Source organism: Homo sapiens, chromosome 11 (assembly GCF_000001405.40).
Source record: "Homo sapiens chromosome 11, GRCh38.p14 Primary Assembly".
Classification (NCBI taxonomy): domain Eukaryota; kingdom Metazoa; phylum Chordata; class Mammalia; order Primates; family Hominidae; genus Homo; species Homo sapiens.
Window position 1 is genome coordinate 116,061,757 of NC_000011.10, and position 22,050 is coordinate 116,083,806.

The 22,050-nt window shown below is 47.2% G+C and overlaps 1 long non-coding RNA gene across 4 annotated transcripts in view, besides 2 other annotated features; it reads right to left on the reverse strand.

Moving 5' to 3' along the window:
* The window catches only part of LOC105369513 (uncharacterized), a 47,986-nt gene extending 28,683 nt beyond the window's left edge, over window positions 1-19,303 (reverse strand). Inside the window, exons 1-3 of one of the 4 annotated variants that reach the window (XR_948056.2) lie at window positions 19,132-19,303; window positions 18,906-19,046; window positions 5,364-5,449 (exon numbers count right to left, since the gene is read on the reverse strand). This is a non-coding gene — a long non-coding RNA (uncharacterized LOC105369513). Of the gene's footprint in view, window positions 1-1,777; window positions 2,182-5,363; window positions 5,450-11,257; window positions 11,450-18,905; window positions 19,047-19,131 lie in introns of those variants that run through there. The other 3 variants (XR_001748401.1, XR_948057.2, XR_948055.2) reach the window with 3 other exon arrangements.
* Window positions 12,406-12,525: an enhancer, noted in NCBI's record as "active region_5552". NCBI's record gives its function as "activates an Ori minimal core promoter by ATAC-STARR-seq in GM12878 lymphoblastoid cells {active_cell/tissue: GM12878}" and the evidence as "EXISTENCE:reporter gene assay evidence [ECO:0000049][PMID:35858748]".
* Window positions 12,656-12,705: an enhancer, noted in NCBI's record as "active region_5553". NCBI's record gives its function as "activates an Ori minimal core promoter by ATAC-STARR-seq in GM12878 lymphoblastoid cells {active_cell/tissue: GM12878}" and the evidence as "EXISTENCE:reporter gene assay evidence [ECO:0000049][PMID:35858748]".
* Window positions 19,304-22,050: the final 2,747 nt, after the last annotated feature.

The window sequence follows — 22,050 nt, forward strand, 5'->3', positions numbered from 1 at the left end:
GAGGCTCCCTCTGGAGAGGGTTGGAGGGCATCTCTAGGGATCACTTATCCTTGGCTGGACATCTCTGTTCTCTTTTGCTGGAACAAGGAGGCCATGTCCTGCAGTGTGAAGAGTCTCTCCTGTCTTACCTCACCCCATCCTCTTGCATCAGCCTGACTGCCCACTTCCTGTTCAATCGAAGTGAAATTAAAGCCGAGGAAGGGGCCTCTGGAGAAGGGGCATCAGGCCACGTTGGGGGTCGTGAGTGAGATTTGGAGGAGGATGATGAAGCACCCTGGTTTGTCTGGGACTGCCCCAGTTTTAACACTCAGGGGAATCTCTCAATTCTGAGATCACTGGGGATGGTTGGCCACCCTAATTTAGGGAAAGGGTAGATTTCAGAACCTAAGGAACCAGGTGGGGAACTTGGGATACCAAACGGTTCTCTCTTGGCTTCAGCAGACAATATTCTCCCAAGGCCAGAAGGTAGCACACCTGCCAAGTGTGGGCAATGCAGGAGCACATGGCCGCTGCTGGCTTCTCTGAGGTAAGGGCCCATGGGAGAACACAAGAAGCGGAGGGAAGGAGGCAGCTCCAGGAAGGAGGGAGGGAAAAGTCCATCTCCCAGCTCTCTCTGAGTCATCTGTCCCCAAGGCTGGCTCCTTTGTCCCAGCTTGCACTGACTGTCTAAATGGTCCCTCTTGCTTCCTTTCCTGGTGGTCCCTTCCCCAACCGTAGACTCACAGCCCCTCTCTATCTTCTCCACCAGCCCACTGTGTCCCTTCCTTGCCTCTCCTACCCTGGGGGAAGTGAGTGGGGTTTGGCAGTGGGTCCAAGCCAGGAGACTAAGAGATTGGCAAAGTGCCAAGAGCAGGTCTGAGTCCAGCTGCCTAATGCCATTTCCTGAGCACTAACAAATCCGACTCCAAGACAAACAGCCAGCAGCACCTGGGAGAGAAGGAGAGTGGCAGCTCACGCAGAGGGAGGCAGGGGAGAGAGGAGGAAACGGGACTGGAAGAAAGACAAAGTGAGAAAAAAAAACCCACACAGCACACCCAGCCCAATGGCCCAGAATCTCTCCCACATCTGCAGAATCAGAAACACTTATTAATAGCCAGCAAAAGGCAAAGAGGAAGTGTCTCATTGTCTGCTGCTGTCATTCCTCACTCTGACGAGCACTTAAAATGTCAAGACCCCTTTCAGCAGCTATGCACAAGCAATCAGGCCCTCTCGTCGGTCACTGCAGTTTCCCAGCCGCTGCATCTCAGTCCTTACGACTTCTCTCCACGCTATGTTTGCAGACAAGGCATGTGTGAGCAACACAAACAAGCACTGTCTGTTGGAAGGATGGCCTGCGTTGAGGGATCCAGGAGACAGGGGAGGGATGGGGTGAGGGATGGGGGTAGGAGGAGGTGGCCGGATCCTGCAGGCCTGCTCTGGGATGTCAGAGAAAAGGTCATTATGTGGGGACATTTGGAGGACTGAGAGCCTGGGCCTGGGGTGGGAGCAGAGAGTGGAATGTTTACCTTGAACCAGAGGGTGGGAGCTCTCTGCTATTGTGGAAAGGAGATTCCACCTGTAACTTCTAGACAACAAAGGATTGTTTTCTGTTAGTGAGGGTTCTGGTTGATCACTGTCTCTTTTGAGGACAAACAAGACAGAATGCAATGGAGCGGCAGCAGGTGGGATTGAGGTGGGATAGAAGGACGGACCTCCTGATCCATAGTAGTAGCTGTGAAACAAAACTGGGCTGGAGAAATCACTTTCCTTGAGGATGTTTACCTGCTATTACATTGCCTCTGCCTAATGCACTTGGGTGGAGGCCTGGGGTGTGGGTTGAAGCCAGAGGGGGTGGGGGTGGCAGAAGACAGTGGTTGACATTCAGAGCTTTTTCTATCACGTTCTATCTCTTATTGTATGGGTTTGCTACAGCTGCGGCCATACAATGCCACAGACTGGGTGGCTTAAATGACAGAAGCTATTGTCTCACAGTTCTGGAGGCTGAAAGTCTAAGATCAAGGTGCTGGCAGGGCCAGTTCCTTCTGAGGGCTGAGGGGAACCTGCTCCACACCTCTCCCCTGGATTCTGATGGTTTGCAAGCCATCTTTGGAGTTCCTTGGCTTGTGGAAGCATCACTCCGACTCTGCTCTCATCTCTGCATGACATTCTCCCTCTGTGTGGGTCTCCATGTTTAAATTTCCCCTTTGTATAAGGATATAGTCACGTTAGGCTAAGGGTCCGCCCTACTCCAGGGTGACCTCCTCTTAACAAATTACATCTGTACAGACCCTATTTCTAGATAAGATCACATTCTGAAGGACTGGGGCTTAGGACATCAACATATAAATGTCAAGGTGACACAATAAACACATAATACTTATCAATCAGAAAGAAATAAAAGGGCATCCAGAGGGTGACCTAGAAAGCCAGGAGCTGGAGAGAGAATTCCAGCACCTACATCCTTTGTTCGACAAAGATACGTTGTTGTTATTTGTTTCTGTTGGAGCAGCCAGGACCTGTTTCTCAAACTCAGATCTTTCCCATAGCTCCCTCTTTACTCTCCCAAAACAGAAGAACAGAACAGCTGGAGCCGACAGTTCTAGATGTTCCCTTGGAGGGGAGCCCATGGCCACCTTAGCCTAAAGGACAGCTAGTGACCCAAGCATTCTAACCACCAGAAAACTCACAAACGGGACTGGGGACACTCTAAACTCTCCATTGCAGGTTTCAGGAAAGACTTGGCAAATCTGCTCACCTATGAAAGGAAAGAAGGTGAAATGATTTTGTATTTTGTTTTCCACTGACCTGGCTATGACACAGCCGAGGATCTGGTGAATGTTCAAAGAGAAATTAGCCTGTTGTTGAACATTCTCCATAATGTCCATCCAATTCAATTAGTTAATAGAATCACAAAATGTCAGTGCGGGAGTACAGGGCTAATTCAATCCGAGCTCATTTTGTAGACGAAGAAAGCAATGCTGAAGAAAGGTAAAGAGTTTCCCCCACACACAATCAGGCTCCCGAGTGGAAGCACTTAGGTTTGCAGGCTCCCAACCAGGGCCCAGGACAAGACACTGCCTGGCTGGAGGCAGGGATGGGTGTGGCCTAAAAGAACACAGCTCCTGCCCTCAGGGAGCTAACTCTCTGGTGGGAGGAGCAGGGCCCATTGCTGCTGATCACTGGCAGTGGGGAGTGCTTGGTGCGTGCCCCTGCCTCCCTTCTGTGTTCCTAGGGGCTGGGGCTGTCTCTCCAGCAAGGCATAGCTGAAGCTGATTAGCTGATGTGCAAAAGGAAATCCAGACTTGGGCCTTTAAAGCACTGAGCTCACAAGCAGAAGCCCTGTGAGCAGGAGAAGGCATCCTAGTGTAGCCCAGCCTTCCTGCTCTCTCATGGCAATCCCCAGCCCCTCCAGCTTCCTCCAAACCCAGTCACAAACAGAGAAGAGGCCAAGAGGGAGTGTTTGAGAAGGTGTGAAGGCCCACCCACGGCAGCTAAGGCCAAGCTCAGCTGTCTGTAGTTTCCTCAGTCTCCCCATTCCCCCTTGCCTGGGCCAGTGGACTCAGAACTTATGAAATCCACAGTTTCCACTCTGTGTCAGCCTTCCCCTCCCTCTCCCAGACCCTGGCAGCCACTTATTCCTAGGCAAGGCCAGGAGAGCCCCTGAAGGCAGGCTGGAAGCCATCCATCTTCACTGAGCTCTCTGGTTTTCCAGGAGCCCCAGGGTCCTAAGTCATCCCTAGAGACACCCCAGGTCTGGGGAGGGAAAGGGGGTTAGAATGATGGGCTGGCTGGCTGCCTCCTCGGCCTCCTACCCCTGGGATTGGGAGGGAATTGGGCTCATCTTCTGATCTGAGAGGAAAGGAAGCACCAAGGGAATGGGATTTGAGTTTCAGAAGGGGGCGTCAAAGGGATGAGGATTTAAAAATAAACAGAAGAGCCAGCAGTGTCTTTTTAGCGATAGCCATGGTAACGGACACTGCTGGAATCGTAGCCGGCGCGGGGCCTGTTCCTGAAGCTTCAGAAATGTATGCAGTGTTACGCCATCTTCCAATCCCCTTTGTCATTGTTGCTGTTGCTGTTGTTTTAAATTCTCCAGGATGAGGAACCCAAACCCAGGAGAGCACCCCTACATTCTCATATGCACATCCAGGCCCCTCTCCTCCCAGGGTCCCTCTACACATGCGTTCACAGAGCCCTGTGTACACTCAGGCGTGTGCACCCATGCTAACACAAAGACACGCCCTGCTGTGCTCATATGCTGACACCTACAGAAACATAGATGTGTGCCCGTGTATCTTCTCACATTCCTACGTATGCTTAAAAACGCATACTACGGTAGCCAGGCGGAGGCTGGAGTCTTGAATCAAAGCCTCCTGATGCTCTATCCAGCCTCCAAAATCATTTTCGTACGTGTGGGCACTCACAGTTTAATCTGACATCTTTTCTACACATTTGCATACTTGCCCACAGGAAGTCTGTGGTTATGTGCTGTATGGATGTCTTCACACCCAAGGTCTGGCACAGATGTGGGAACACACTTGTATGTCCAAGTACATATGACTGACGTATCTCTCCTTACCCAACCTGCTTGACTATATGTGGAATTGTGTTCCAAGTCAGCTCCCTCAAATGTATGCACTTGAGCAAAAGCAAATGCATGCTTGCCTTCCCCTGTTCTGACCACATAATGGTTTCTCATAGCCAGGAGGGCACACTCGTATGTTCAAGCACAAGGACTCCAATGCAGCCTGGCAAAGCCATGTGGTCTAGAGTTATCATTCCTCCTACTTGGCACTTTCCCCTCACTCTCTCTCCACTCTCTTGCTGTCACTTTAAACTTCAGCAAAGCACACCGAGTCAATGCCTTTCATATGCCCCACAAAAGGTGGGGGAGAAGAAACGCAGACAGTCACAGACAGCCCTAGACTCAGCTTTGAGGCCCTTGGCTTCCTCAGCAGGCAAAATCAAGCAGAAATGCAATACCAGAGCCAGTATGTTTTTAAAAAATTGCACAAGTCTCCCAAGAAGGCAGAAAAATCAAAGCTTCATCATTTAAAATCCCCACACAACAGAAGAAGAAATAAACACAGAGCTCTCAGAAAAGGCTGAGGTTCCCCCACTTCTCCTTCCCAGAAGAAAAGACAAACAGAAAACAAATCAAAAACCAAATCTGGACTGAAAGGAGCAATTGTCGAATGGGTAGCTCCAGGCTGTCTTCTCACCCTAGGAAATATGTTCCCTGACCGCAGAACAGGAATGAGAAGGGGCTCTAGCAGGAGTTGGTCAGAGGGGCAGCCTGCGTTAGGCTGGCCCAAGCAATGAGATACTTGTTCCTGGGGAATGGGGCAGGAAAAATCTCAGACTTTGGAGGCAAACAGACTTACGTGTGATGCCAGGTCTCCGGGTCTCTCATTTAGTGGGCGTGTGACCTTGAACAAGGCCATTGGCCTCTGAGCCTCAGTTTTGTCACCTGTAGAGCAAAGATCAATGCAAGGTCCTTACTTCCAAGTCTGGTTATGAGGATCAAATGAGATGCCATAAAATTATTTCACAACTCAAATACATGTCTAGCAAATGGCCAAGGAAAGATCTCTGGATTCTAGAACAGGGGGGGTCTGTAGACTCTGATCTTTGGTTACAACAAACGTTCAGAACATGACCAAGGAATGATCTGTGCCCCCACTCTCGAGGGAGGAAAAGCATCTAAGAGAAAGGGAGTGTGGGCATCACTGGCTCCTTTGTCCAAGTGCCTGAGGGTTGATGGTCTTTTTCTAACGAAGACCCAGGTCCTTTCTCCTGATATTGAAGGTCTCTCCTCTCAATAAATGAATAGGCTTTTTTTTTTTTTTTTTTTTTAGAGATGAACGCTTGCTCTGTCACCCAGGCTGGAGTGCAGTGGCGTGATCTCGGCTCACTGCAAACTCTGCCTCCCAAGTTCTAGCAATTCTCTTGCCTCAGCCTCCCGAGTAGCTGGAATTACAGGCACATGCCACCACGCCTGGCTAATTTTTTGTATCTTAGTAGAGACAGGGTTTCACTGTGTTGCCCAGGCTGGTCTCAAACTCCTGAGCTCAGGCAATCCACCCGCATCGGCCTCCCAAAGTGCTGGGATTACAGGTGTGAGCCACCACACCCAGCCATGAATAGGTTTTTATTGCTCACCTACTCCATGCTTGGCCACATACCAAAGCTCAATGAGGGACCCATGGCCTATGTTTGGGCTCCTGCCTGCTCCTAAGTGCTGAACTTCACTTAAGGAGAACAGACTTTCACCTGGGAAATAGTAAAGCATCCCTGTCTTAGTCTGCTCAGGCTGCCATCACAGAATACCACAGGCTGGGTGGCTTCACAAAAATTTATTTTCTGGAGGTTAGAAATCCATAAACAAGATGCTGGCAGATTCTGTGGCTGGCTCGGGTTCTCTTTCTGGCTTGCAGACTGATGCTTTTTCCCTGTGCCCTCCCACGGCCTTTCCTGAGAGACAGAGAGGTCTCCAGTGTTCCTCCTCTTTGTATAAGGCCACTGGTTGGTTCTACGTGATTCAGAAGTCACCGTTATAACCTCACTGAACCTTCATTACCTTCCTATAGGTCCTGTCTCCAACTACAATCACATTGGTGTTAGGGCTTTGGCATAGGAATTTGGGAGGAGGCTGGGCGTGGTGGCTCACGCCTGTAATCTCAGCACTTTGGGAGGCCGAGGCGGGTAGATCACGAGGTCAGGAGATCGAGACCATCATGGCTAACACGGTGAAACCCCATTTCTACTAAGAATATAAAAAATTAGCCTGGCGTGGTGGCGGGAGTCTGTATTCCCAGCTACTCGGGAGGCTGAGGCAGGAGAATGGCATGAACCCAGGAGGCGGAGCTTGCAGTGAGCTGAGATCGCACCACTGCACTCCAGCCTGGGCGACTCTGTCTCAAAAAAAAAAAAAAAGATTTTGGGAGGCGACACAATTCGGCCCATAATAATCCCTAGCCCTCACGCCACCCCTCACTGAAGGTGGATATCAGTCAAAGCAGGCCAGGCCAGGAGAGCGCTGCCTGGGGTAAGTGTTTAGTATGGGAAAGCCTAGCGGACACTAGGCCACTTTGCAGCAAGGAGAGAGCATTCGCACTTCATTCTTGGGTTATGCACACCTAGCTGCAAACATGACCAAGAACAGTCTAAGAAGACTAGAACCCAGCGGGCAGATGTCAGAAAAGGCCAACTGCTGGGTCACATAAAGAAGGGTGTTGGAAACCAAACAGGAGCGCTGTTCTTCCTTTGAAGAAAGTAGCAGTGCAATCACACATAGTGCTGTGCAGGACCAGACCTGAGACTCCAGCAGATACCTATTTGCAACGTCCCTCATCTCTTTGAAAAAGCACCTACATTCCTTTCAATGTCCAGCTCAAATACCATCTCTTCTGTAGGTCATCCCTAGCCCCAGACACACACACACCCCTCACAGGCATTTGCGAAAATCATTGCTTTATATTCTACACATTCATAGTTGTTGATGCCAATCTTTGTAGCAGCACATTCAAATTGTCTATTACATTTTTGGTCATTTCCCACTAGTTACCGTGTAAGCTCCTTGAGGGCAGGAGTGTGTCCATCTGGTTCATAACTTTAACTTCATTGTATAATGTGGAGCCTGGTACTAGGGTGAACAACTATCCTGATTTTCCTGTGACTGACTTGTTTTCCAGGATGCCTGACTTTCAGTTCTAAAACTAGGATAATACCAGGCAAATGGAGCTAGTTGGTCACCCTACCTGGCATAAGGTAAGCACTTGATAAAATAGTTGATATGCAAACACTGCAATAGATAAGGAGCAGGTCCAGGAAAGAATTACAGAATGATCAATGTGATAAGGATGGCGGTAGGAAGCACCGTATGCAGACTTATTAAAGATAAGGCTTTATTGGCCTAGAAGGAATAAGCTAAAAGGATATAATCCAAATCTATGTCATCGTGAGCTGAAAACACAAACAGCTTGAAGAATTTTGAATATATTATGGTTCACAGGGTCATAATGGGAGAAGCCAGAGCATTTGAGGGCAATCTATGGGTTTTTAAGGCTGTTGTACAAAAGGACAATATATTTGTCAAAATCTCTTAAAGACAGAGACTGGATTGCATGGCTCATGCATATAAATATGCATATAAATACGTGGGTGTTTCCCCGAGTATCAATATTATTTTTCCATACAAATATTATTATAACAGCATCAAAATGAATTTTTAAGAATGTTTAAGAAGGAAAAAAATAGTGGGTTAAGCCCAGACCAACAACTCATTTTTTTGTATATTATCTTTTAGTCCTTGCTCTTACTTTTACATAATTATAATCAGAGTGAACATACCATTTATATCCCATTTTTTAAAACCATAGACTGTGTGGGAAACATTTTCTACATTGTTACTAGTCTCAACAGTTATTCTTTGTAATGGCAATGCAATAGTCTGTAACTCACTTAACAGTTCCCCTAGTGTTGGCATTTAGATGCTTCTAGTTTTCTACTAATGAAGATAATCCTGCAATGAATAGCTATGCACGTGCTTCTTTTTCCTTCTTCTGTAATATTTCCTAATAATAAATATCTCGAATTGAAATTACTAGGTGGAGGGATAGAATAATGTTTATGACTCATCCATGCTTTCACCAAACATTTTTTGAAAACCTACTCCAGGCCAGAGACTGCGCTAAGCACGGGGGGTACAAAGATGGAAGAGTTAGTCTCTGCCGTCAGAAGGTTCACAGTCTGGCGGCAACACAGACACATAAACTACACAGTTCATAAATATTCCAGTTGTGGTAAGGGGGGCTACTGGGGTCCCAGGGAAATGATTCTCACTGAGCCAAGCAAGAGGCACATGGTTGAGCAAGCCATTCCAGAACAGGATCTACTTGCCCTGCAAATGCAGGAAATGTCAATCTGGAGGGCATGGTGGAGAAGGAAATTCCAGACAGAGAAAATAGCAAGATCTAAGTCATGACAGCAGTAGAAAATATGGGGTATTCCAGGAATTGCTGGTGGCTTGATCGTATCAGGGCATAGACGTGCCTGCAGAGAGGGTCTGGAGAGGCTGATGACAGGAGATAAGGCTGATGGAGACAAGGCTGAGCAGGAGGTGGCCCACCTGCGGACCGTGCCATGAGTTTGCATTCTACCTTTAAGGTAGTAGGGAGCCAATAGGGATTTTAAGCACACTCTTGATACAGTTTTCCAATTTGCTTTCCAAATTATGCTCATTATAAGAAAACCCCTTCTGAAGGTTTTTTGTACTATTTTTCCTTGGGCTTCCTCAGGGCTCTATTCTCATTTCTGCCACAGAATGAGGGTGGGGCGGGTGGAAGAGAACAAATAAACTCTGGCCTGAGGCCATTATAGATGAGTGGAAATGAACATATTCCAAGGAGCGTGTGTGTGTTGGGGCGGGGGAGTTGGAGGGGGAGAGTTAATGAAGATCTTCATGACTGGAAGCAAAAGCAGAGAGGAGGGTACTATTACATGGAGATGCATAACACCTGCCACCTCCCCCAAAAGCCAGGCCAACAAAAACCCAGACTCCTTTAAGACGTCTTAAACAAAGGTCCTGGTCCCCACGCCCTTTTTGGAACCTTCACTGAGAAGCATGGCTTAGTCACATTGGGAGTCATATAGGAAGATGGGTGGTGACTCCTTTATCCTTTATCCCTGAATTCCAGGAGCCTCTTGAACTTCCCATCCCACTGCGACTTATCCACCAGAGCCCCCAAGGGCAATCAGCTGCTAGCTTCCCCTGGCTTGTTCTTTCTTGCTCCGACGTGCCCCTACATTCCCCAAACACACCAGACCCATGATGGCTCCAAGGTTTTGAGCAATTTTCTTCCGACTGCTGGGATTACCCTTTCTCTACCTGGTTGCCTAACTCTCCCTTGTTTTCTGAGTCTTGGCTTAGAGTCCACGTTCTGTGAAGTGTTCCTAACCCTCTAGGCAGAGCTGGGTCACCACAGGACTTTGCATGTATGGTCAACCGGATTGAATTGTTACTGTAACTGTCTTTGTCTCTTTCTAGACTGTGCCCATCTTCAGGGCATGAACCATGCATTATTCATTGCTGATCCCTGGCACCTACCTAGGGCCTGATACCTAGAGGTGGCAACCACTATTATTGAATTTATCCAAATATTTGTTCCTGTCACCGAACTATGTTAAAGGGAAATAATTGGGCAGAAGGAAAAGCACTCAGCTACAAAGGACGCTGCATTCTGTGCTGTTTCACGGGGATGCATATGGGATGTTTGAAGCCCCTATAAAGCACAGAAGTAATGCGAGCAGCTATTTGTCCCTTTCTCTCCTGCCTCTATCTGTTCTCTCTGCCTCCCGTTATTCTTCCCCTCAGCTTTCAAAGACACAAAGAGGTATCTACCCCAGGTGCCTGCAGGCTCACCTTTTTTCCTCCCCTTGGGCTGCAGGAGGGGAGAAGCTGGGCCAGCAGCAATGCCTTTCCCTGTCTGCTTCTAATTCCCATCCCCTTATTAAATTCAGGGCTGATTTGGGCTGTGTGAGCTTTGTTGGACCCCCTGCTGCTGGACCAATTCCTTTTCTTTCTCTCCTCCTGGTGACTAATAGCTGCTCTTTCCTTCAGTCTGTGTGCGCCTCCCTTCTCCTCCCCTCCCGTTCAAAGGCAGTGGAGTCGTGATGCCTCCTCATCCACTGGACTCCCCGAAGCACAGTTCTGGGAAGCAAGTTCAAGCCCCCCAGGCCAGCTCTTCTAGGGTCTGGGGCATCTCTCTCTAGGGAGGTATTGCTGTAGAAATAGGAGGATGGCTGGCCCAGAGGGGATGGAGATGGAGAGGAAGGAGGAGGAGGAAGAGAGAGGCCGGGCAGTCTAGCACAGGAGGGAGGGAAAGTAGGCAGAGCCTGCAAAAGGATGGAGCACTCAGGGCAGATCACAGAAGCCCCAGAACAAAGGGAGAAGGAACATGATAGAAAAGATGCAGGCGCGAAACAACCACGCGGAAGTGAGGCATGAAAGGCAGTTGGGTGACGTGGAAAATGCCAGAGAGCAAAGCCACAACCAAACAAAACGCTAAGACTAGAGGATTTGCAGCCTCGTCTTAGGAGGAGAAAAAGTGCCTTGGAAACAGTGCTGGAGGTTCTGTCCAGGGACCCCTTGGCCCAAGTTGGGGAGCAGGATGGGACTCAGAAACCAAAGCTTCAACAACAGAATCTAGTGCCAGGCGGGGCCCCCTGGAGGCTGAGTATGCTCACACTCACGCATGCGCATGCCCAGAGCATGTACCTGAGGCTGGCTAGCAGGGGTTCCGTTCCTCACTCTAATGGGGTCCAGCCTGCAGGCTGGTGGCTGTAGAAGTACAGGTTGCACTGACCACATACCCAGCTGCATTTGCCACATGAGAGGGGATGACGGTTCCAGTGAGGCAAGTATCAGAGCAGGAGTCAGGAGTGCAGTGTGTTGCTGCTGACCCTTAGCTGTGTGCCTTTGAACGAGTTGCCATATGTCACAAAGCCCTTTGTTCTCACCCATGTTCACAGTCCCAGCCCTGCTGTCCATCATGAGTGTGACAAAGAAACTGATGAAAAATAGACACAGAAGCGCTTTGCAAACTGTACACTGCTCTGGAAATAAGAGTGTCACCTTCGCAGCCGAGGACTCACAGGAGGGACCAGAAGGAGAATGTGGATGACCCCCCACCAGCCGCATCTGTTCCAGAATCTCTCCCACTTTCTGTTCTAGCCATTCTGAACTTCTGTTGGTTCCCAATCCTGGGCCAGCTTGCTCTCTCTCTCATTTCTGAGCCTCTACACATTGTTCCCTCTGCCTGGAATGTTTCTGCACCTTCTCTTTGCTCAGCTAACTCATCTGCTTTCTGGTCTCAGCTTACATGCCACTTCTTCCAGGAAGCCTTCCTGGAACCACTATGTACTTGTTTTGTGTTTCTGCTACATGCTCTTATGGAATCCTGCACTTCTAGGGGTATGTGTGTGTGTGTGTGTGTGTGAGAGAGAGAGAGAGAGAGAGAGAGAGAGAGAAAGAGAGAAACTGTCTCTGAGTTAGGGGGAGGTGGGTGTGAGTCCCTCACAATGCCATTTATAGCCCACTCCTGAGCCCCAGACCACTGTGGAGAACAACCATCGCTGAGTGTGGGTGCTCCACCACCTGTCCACCAGCTGCCACTCTCTTCCAACTCTTGGGGAGCAGCCACGGGAGTCTGAAGCATTTTCTGGGTCACTGCCTAGCAATTGGTAACAGCGGCCTTCCTTCCCCACACTTGTCTCTCGCTGAGTAAGCTCTGAAACCCCCGCACAGCACTGACATGCTTCCGCCTCATTCAGAATGAATCTGTTGCTATGGTTGTGTGGGGAGCTGTGCGTGCAGCGTGTGAGCCAAGCCAACTGAGATGGGAGCTCTGGGCTCTCTCACGCTCGTCACCAGTGATGTCGGGCACACCTTTGGTGGCATTTCTCCCTTTGTCCTCTTCTAGAGTTTCTGCATCACGCATTGGGGCTGGGAGATATGAGTGGGTCCAGGCTCTGCCCTCAGCTGTGGGGGTGGGGGACACTCTGCAGAGCCAGCCTTCACTTTATCCCCCTCACTTTTCCCTAATGAGATTATCTCGCCTCGCTGGAATCTGACTACCAGTCCCTCACATCATTCAGTTCTCTGCACAATATCACCTCCTCAGAGGCCTCCTTGACCGTTGCATCTAAAATAGCTCCCCTTCCCACTTCCAGCTCTCGCTGCTCTGTTTTTCTTCATAGCATGCATCACTGCTGTTATTGCAACACACCCTTTGTGTGTAAATATCTATTATCTGGCTGCCTCATTAGAATGAAAGCTAGAGGAGGGCGGGGACTGTGTGGCTTTGGTTCCTACTGAGCTGTCTATTCTCCATTTGCCCTCTGCCCCCTCCAGTCCATGCTCCACTCTTCTGCAACCTGCTGTGGCCCCAGGAGGCTGACCTCTGCCAATTGCACCTCCCACGCTCTCTTGATGACTGGTTCCTTGTTGGGTGTGTCCAGTGTGAGCATCAGAGGCCACTCCTTCCCTGCTTTGACACTGTGGATCTGGCAGGAGGGTCCTTCTACAGCTACAGCTGCTACAGCTCTTGCCAAACAGCCTCTCTTCCATGATTCCAGTGCTCATGGGCTCCAGTAGCTCCATTTCCCCTGGCTGTCTTGATATTGCAGGTTTCTGATCCTTTGCCATGCCTTTTTGGTCCCTTAGCCTGCTCATACCTTTGTAACTAGTTCCTTCCTTGGAGCCCCTTTATCTGGACTGTCTGAAGGGAAACATATCTCCTACTGAGACTTTGATATAGTTATGGTCCAGCACAACACATATTGCTGAGTGGATAGATAAATGACTGGCAGGTGCCCCAGATTGATGCCCAGGCTTGGCTATGGAGGATAGGAAGGAAGGCAAAAGAAAGCTCAAGGGAGATATGGGTGTCTCTAAATAGGACAACCCCAAAATTGTTTCCTGATCAAGAGCAGTACCCACATTTTTAAAGGTTATAAGTGGGAAAATTTTAATCTCCCTCAGTGGCCTGTTCTTATGACTCACATCTCTCCCTGATAGAGATTTAAGGTAGGATGGAGATGTAAATGGAGAGTGGCCAGGAAGATATCTTTCTAATGCCTAATCCAAATCCCTTTTATTATAGTTGGAAACTCCTTATTCTTGATCTAAAGATAAAAGTCACCTCTCCCTGTTACTGTTCTAGGAAATCATTATACTACATTAGCATGTAGTATTCTAGTATGTTAATATTTTAAATGGGAAGTGCAAAGAACACAGGATTTGAGTCCAGGGAAACTAGTGTCTCAGTTCTGACACATTATGCTGAGAGACTCATTTACCCTCCTAAGTATCTGTTTGTCACCCGTACAATGGGAGGGATGGTAAGCCTTGCGCAGCCTACCTCCTGCCCTGCATTTGTGAACACCAATGAAAAAACTGTGTAAATGGGAACATTCTGTATCCAAATATTAGCTGATGCATTGTCTTCGACATGTTTAATCTCAGGATCTGGGATTCTCCTAAAGTTCTGTTGTCCAAATTCTCCTAACACTGAACCAAATTCTTCCACGCCCCAGGTATATACATTACACACATTACCAAATTCTTGATAATGCATATACCTGGGGTGTGGAAGTGGAAAGGGGAGACCTCAGTTTCTCTTCTATGACCTTAAATGATTATGTTGGTGACTCAGCAGACCCAGGGAAATGGCAATCGGCTCAGGCAACAGCCTGGGTTAAGAGGCTTGATGTCACAAGAGGATCCTCTATACCCTCACTGGGAAACAAACTCCAATTTTCAGCTGCTGGCTGTCTGAAAAGCCCAGGTGCAAGAAATATTATTCATGGAGGATTATCTGAAGGACATGTAGCCCATCTACTCCTATAGGTACACTCGATTTTATCTCTGGATCAAGCCCGACGATCAGTGCTGTATATTTGGACCAAATGGTTTTCGCTCCTTGTGGAAGCAGATTTCCTAACTTGTGTTTAGGCATACTGATTTAAGTTTGCACTGAAGAAATCCTTCAAGGAAAGCCACGAGTCTAGCTATTACATTTAATGTCAAAATGGCACTTTAAAAATTGCCTATTAGATCTAGATGTCCCTTTTTGAAGTTCCACATGGGCAACTTCCCTTAGCTTCAGCTTCTCCAGAGAAACTGGTATAATTTTCACTAATAGACAATGCCAAATTTGCTACTGATGGCTTCCCCTTTGTCTTTGGTTGCTAGGAAGCTCAGACTTTATGACATGAATTTCTGTGTTCTAGCTAAGGTCTCCTATTCTTGTTCCTCCTTTATTTCGCTTCATCCCAATCATCAATCTCTATTTGTATCTTATTGTAGTATGTCATTATTACAAGCTATCTCAATTTGTTTTTGCAACTCTGTAAAAAAAAAAAAAAAGCGGTGGCTCAGAATATACAGAAAGATTGACAAAGTGGTCTGATCAGTGTAAACAAAACAAATGAATGTATGTATCAATTAAGAGATGGACACCAAAGACATTTCTTTATTAATTCGTCAGACATGCATTGTGATTTGCTGAATGTTTACTACAATACTAGGTCCTAGGATACGAAAGCAAATAATGTTCATTAATTCAACAAGTATATGTTGGGACTTGCCAGGTGATGGAAACATAGCAGGGAACAGCACATTTGCCCTCATGGTACTCACAGAATGGTGGAGAAGACAGGCAATTTAACCAAAACCTACCCTGAAGTGTGAGGATGTGGTTCAAGAAAGAAACTGAGTGAGTAGGAGCACCTAGTATGGAGGACTTAATTCTGTCTAGAGTCTGAGGGATGTTCCTGGGGAAGAGGCATACAAACTGATCTCTGAACAGAGACAATACATTTGGTAGGCAAAGAGGAGGAGATAGGGAATATCCCTGGAAGAAGGAACAACATGTACAAATGTCAGGAGACAAAGGGGCCATGCCAACAAGACAGTGGATAAACAAAATAGTATTTCATTGCATGTTTCATTCATGCGATGGAATACTACTCAGCCATAAAAAAGAGAAACTGCTGACGTATGCAATAGCTGGAGGACTCTCAGAGGTTACATACTGTATGATTCCATTTCTATCACATTTTTAAAAGAAAGCTATAGTGGTGGAGAGCAGATCAGTGCATGTTAGGGGCTAGGGAAGGGGGGCACAGTGTCACTACAAAGGGACAGCACCAGGGAGTCTGGGGGGTGATGGAATTGTTTCATGTTCTGATTGTGATGGCAGTATATACATCCTATGCGTGTTAAGACTCATAGAACTTTACGGCAAAAATTAAGTTAACTTCAGCACTGGCTAATTTAAAAAGTGAAATGTAAAGTCACAAAAGAAAAGTTCACCACTAAAGAGCTCAAAAAAGAAAATGAGAGTGGAGAATGGCAGGCAGTGAATTGCAACAGGATCTGCAATGCTTTGTTACTGAAAATTTTGAAGGAAAAAAATTCAGCCACGCCAAGGCCATGTTTGCATATGATCTCAATGGTAGTGGAGCCATGGAAGGATTTTTAAGTATGAGAACGACAGAATCAGATTTGCATTGGAAACAATCCCTCTGGCTGCAGTGTAGACCGTGGATTAAAGAGAGCCCCAGTGGTTCTGGGGAAGCCAGTGAGGGGTGGTTGGTGAGGTTCAGGTAGACAAAAAGATGGCTTAGAAGAGGAGGCAGAAGAGAAATGGCTTTGCACACAGCAGCCACCCCTGCGCAAGTCCAAAGGGAACGGCAGAGAAGGAGACAAGAGACCCTGGAGGGCCTGAGGGGCTGTGGAGGGTGGCCCTGGCCTCCCTGAGCAGCACTGTGGCATCTGCCTGTCTATCCAGAAGGCATATATGGGGCATCCCTTTCCTTGTCTGCCACTCAGGGTGGAAGCCCTTAGTTTTCCTTCTAGTTAGTTGGTACCATCTCCCCAGCTTTGAGTAACAGCGACCTCTTAGGGCTGAAAGGAAAGCAGGCACCAGCAGTGGGCCTAGCCTAGGAGAGGAAAAGCTGCCCACTCCAGAGCCTCTGAGCGACTTTTTTCTAATCCCCTTCATCCCCTTCCTCTCTGGGGCCAGTTTAAAGTTTGAGAGAGACAGGGGTGGGGTCCAAGGGCAGGGAAGGGAAGGAGGAAGGTGAGTTGCATTGTGTTTCCCCCCCAAGTCCTGCTGAGAAATGGCTTCCTAGCGCTTTATCTGCCCTGGATATCGGCTGCAAGGATCTTATCAAACTGTAATTACCCAGCCTGGGTCTGTGCTAATTGGTTCTCTAGAGTAAAGTTACCTCCAATCTGTGTGTTATGGGTGCACAGCGGGAAGTGATTTGAGCCACGGAGGCTGTCTGTGATGGTATGTCAGAATAGCTGTGGTGGCTGCAGGAACATGGAGCTGGGACCCAGCTTAGAAGGAAAGAATTGTTCCATGGGTCCCAATTCTAACCGAAAATGACCAGCCATCCTTATGTTATCTCGCTCCCAGGGACCTCTTAGGAAACAGTGAGAGCTCATTTTCCTCCATCTCAGAAAAGAGGGAAGAGGGAAGGAGAATGAAAAAGAAAACAGAAAAACCCTATTTAACCCTGTTGGCTTTCCTGGCTCCAATATTCTTGACAATCATCTCAAATTAGGGCCTCCAGCCACTATCTCATTTCCTCACCACCCACCTCTGTAATCTGACTTCTGCCTCAACCTGCAACAGAAATCCCATTTCCAAAGGCTTCCAAAGACTTGGGATAAAGGAATCTGAGGGTTGTTGAGAACCCACTAGGAAGATCACCTAGTCCTAGTCTCCTCTCCATGGTGGCCTCTCTAAGGAGAGTCTCATCCCCTGCTCTTACAGGCCCTCAACCATGCTCAGAATGGCTCAATTTGAAAGAATTTTTTATTTTTTAATATTGAGCCCAAACCTGTCTCCTTACAGTCCCATCCGCCCCTTGTGTGGCACTAAGCAAGCATAATATTTCTTCAGCTGTTTCCCCTAAAATATCAGCTGACAGCACTTCAGCTGTTTCCCCTAAAATATCAGGACACCACCACGCACTTTGTGTCTCAAGAAAAGACCTTGGGGCCAGGCGCGGTGGCTCACGCCTGTAATCCCAGCTCTCAGGGAGGCAAAGGCGGGAGGATAGCTTGAGCACAGGAATTCGAGACCTGCCTGGGCAATGTAGCGAGACCTCGTTCTCCACAAAAAGGAAGAAAAAAAAAAAAGACTTTGGGGATCACATGAGACCCTCCCTTCTTCACCTCATTCATGCATAGCTCATCCAATCAGCTCTCGGCTTCCAATCCACCCCTTCTCTCCACCTCAGCTGGCACTCCTCTGCCCAGGCATCAGCATCTGAACAAGATCACGCAACAGCCCCATTGGTCTTCCTGCTTCTTCACCCATGACACCCCACAACCAGTTCTCCACACAGCAGCCAGAGTAACTTATGTGTAATACATTTTTATTGTGGTATGCTAGATATAACATAAAATTTACTACTTTACCTATTTTTAAGTGTACAATTCAGTAAGTACCTCCCCATTGTTACGCAACCACTACAGGCAATTTCCAGAACTTTTGCATTACTCCACACTAAAGCTTTATAATCATTAAGTAGTAACTCCCCTACTCCATTTCTCTCCTCAGCCCCTTTTAACCTCTGATATACTTTTTGTGTCTCTGAATGTGACTACACTATGCACCTCATTTAAGTGAAATCATACAGTATTCTTTTTGTGTCTATTTCACTTAGCATCATGTTTTCAAGGTTCATTCATGTCAACCTATATCAGAGTTACATTCCTTTTTATAGCTGAATAATATTCCATTGTATGGATATACCAATTCTGTTTACTCATTCACCCGTTGATGGGCATTTGGGTTGTTCCTGCATTTTGGAATAGAAAATAGAAATTTCATCGTGTCCCTCTCCTTATTAAAATCCTCCATAGACTTCCTATCTTGAACTTACCATAAGTCTAAAACCCTTACTCTGGACTATATGACCCTATCTTAGATGGCACTGCCCATGTGAGAACCACCCTGACCAGCCTCCAGCCACACTGGATTTCTGTCTATTCCTTGAACAAGTCAAGCCTGTTCCTGAATCAGGGTCTTTGTACTTGAAGCTCCTGCCACCAAGACCCCTCTTCCCTCTGCTGTTCCTTCCTGTGGCTTGCTCATTGATGCATTCAGATTTCACTCAAATGTCACTTACTCTTCAAGTCCTTCTCTGACTGGAGCAGACTTCCAGCCTTTCCTACTACATCATGATGTTTTATTGTTATTACACACCCTGACTACCTGAGGTCTTCTTGTATGTTTATATGCCTCCCCAAATGGAGTGTCAGCTCTGTAAAAGCAGGAACTTTGCCTTGCTCACACCATCCCCTGTGCCAAGTACCGTGCCTGGTTCATATTCAAAGTCCATACCTGTTTGAAGCAGCTTTCATTCCTCTGCTGGTGTTTTATCTCATGATGAGTACTCCTTTCTTTGGACATTCTTTTAATTGGCCTTCCTTCTCACCATCTGAAGGTGCTACAGTGGGTCTGTGTACCTCCCAAAGTATACACCTGGAATGATGTGACATTCAGGTCTGAGGAGACTGTGTCTTTCCCAGACCAGTGCTTTTCAATCCTGAGAGTGCATCAGAATCACCTGAAGGGCTTGTTAAACTACAACTTGCTGGGCCCACAGCTGGGTTTGCTTTTCTAATGGGTTTCCAGGTGATGTTGATGCTGCAGGTCCGGGGACCACACTTGGAAACCACTGTGAGACTCTTCCTTCTACCATATCTGTAATGGTGTCCACTGATATCTCATCGACCCCAAAACTGTAGCCATTGGCCAGCCCAGATGGTTCCTCAGTGACTCATCCAATCCATGAGGTCACCTGAATCCTCACAATAACCTGATCTGGAGCCTGTCTCCTCTGTCTTCAGTCTCCTGAATCTATGGCACTGACACCAGCAGCTGCCCTTCCTTCTGGAACTCCCCTCCCAGGTGGTTCTGCACTATCCTCATTCCCCTGCTAAGTCTCTTGCTGCTCTTATGTATCGACTGGAGGCTCCTCTTCTTCTTTCTACCCCTTAAACATAGGTTTCCCCTCAAAGGAAAATCTGAGTTTCTTCTTTTAGAGAATAAATTCATTCTCCTGAATGTGTTTAACACTTTTATGAAGATGAATTCCAAATATCCATCCACAGCCCTGACCTTTCTCTGGAGCTCCAGATCCACTGTCCTCATAAAATCCAGTGTACAGCACCTGGGCATTGTCATCAGGCAGACTCAAGTTCAAATCTCACCAACCTCAGTGTCCTCAACTATAAAATGAAATTAATATCTTCTTCATCAGATGGCTGTGAGGGCTAAAAGAGATAGTATATCAAAAGCACATAGTGGCCAGGCACGGTAGCTCACACCTGTAATCCCAGCACTTTGGGAGGCCAAGGCAGGTAGATCACCTGAGGTCAGGAGTTTGAGAAGAGCCTGACCAACATGGTGAAATCCCATCTCTACTAAAAATACAAAAATCAGCCAGGTGTGGTGGCACATGCCTGTAATCCGAGCTACTGGGGAGGCTGAGGCAGGAGAATCACTTGAACCCGGGAGGTGGAAGTTGCAGTGGGCCGAAATCGTGCCATTGCACTCTAGCCTGGGTGACAGAGCGAGACTCCATCCAAGAAAAAAAAAGCACATTGTACACTACAGGAGCTTCACAGATGGTAGGTATCACTATAATTTAATTTATTCAGTTGACGTATTCAATATTTAAGTCTGTTAATTCCTCAGTCCCCACCTAGCACACGCCTTGGCACATGGTGGACAGGTGATAAACATTTGCTAAATGAATAAGTAAAATTCAGCTTAGCCCTAAATGAACATATCACTTGTTTGTTCCCACCCTGCTTTCCTGCTACATTTTTCTATTTTCTTGTCACTGCCACTCTATTCTTCCAGCTAGCCAGTTTCATGAATTTGTAGTCATTTTGACTCCATCATTATCTTTATACCCTAAATGCAAAACTATGTAGAGATAATAGTCATGATGCTCCCCACCTACAGCCTTTTCTGAGGCCCTGCCTAACAGTACCTGGCTTTTTCCATAATGTGACCCAGATTCTGGCCCCACCGCATCGTCACCACCACCATCAGACCATAGCAGATGGGACTAGGAGATGGCACCTGAGCCAAGACCTGGTGGCTGTTCCCATAATGTAACAGGTGCGAACACTGAGTCAATCAGATCCCCTCTGGTGGAAGTATGAAGAGGCGCATATTGAGCAGCTGAGTCACTTAGCAGTGGGTGGGCTGTGGGGTCATGGTTGATATGGAAAAGCTGGAATTATTGAGAGAGAGAAAAAAGTAAGTGATCATCGAAAGGCAATGGAAGAGAGAAGAGAGTGGAATAGCTATGGAGGGAGAAGGACTGATTCTAGGAACTGGAGAGAGAGAGAGAGATCAACCTTGCAGTCCAAGAGAGGAAAAAGACAGAGAAAGAGGACCTGGCCCCACAGATCTTCCTGGGTTTCTCAATGACTTTGAGGTTCGTTTCTAATTCCCACCCCACGCATCTTTTAAACAGCTACCCACCCATCACCTTTTACTCTACTCTATGACGCGCTGTCAGATAGCTTGACCAGTGCCCAAATTGTGTTGATGCTTCCTTCTCCCTCCTTTCCCCCATCTCTTCCATTCCATCCTCACTGCCATCATGAAGCCGGGAATCTCTAGTTCTTCCAACTAGTCCCACTGGAGGCTTCTGACCTCAGCTGGCCAATGCTGTCTGGCTCCAGTGCTTGTCTTCCAGCGTCTGTCCTTATGGTGCTACTTCCTCATCCTGAAGCTTGTGGTGGCTTCCCGGTGCTTCTTAAAATCCAAGCTCAACAGGGGTTCAAGGCCTTACATCTTTTAGTTCTCAGGCGAACCTATGATACTATCTCCCAACACGAAAGCCTCACACCAGCCAGTCAACACCCCTCCCCATGATGCTGTACCCCCACCACTTCCACATCTTCCCCTTCGCATCCTAAAATACCTTTGTTTTTCTTCCTTTATTTTCCTTCCTTTATTTCTTCTCCTGTGCTTCTCTGTTTCTATCTCCTTCTCTCTTTCCTCTTCTTACTTAAATTCAACTTCATCTTTCAAGGTTTAAGTCCAGTATTATCTAACTACCCCTGGACCACTTACTTGTATGTCAGGGATATTGATCTTGCTCACCTCCCCAGCTCCAAGCTCCCTGAGGGCAGAGACTATACTGTACCACTTCCATATGTCCCATGCCACCTAGAATGTTATATGTGCTTAGAGAAGATAATGTTGAAAATATCTTGTTCAATTGATTTCAGTTATAAGATTAACAAATGTGTATATAGATGGATACTTATTTGAAATAAGTAATGTCAGATGTCAAACAAACCACTGTATGTGAGGTGGGGAGTATTTTTTGGCATCCCACAAAGCATCCTAGGAGTTTTGTTTTCTGCTATTCTTCTGCACAGCAACATTTCTGGCTACTGTTATCCTGCATATTCTTCAATAGAATGTAACTTCAGAACTCATTTTTTAAAGAACTCTT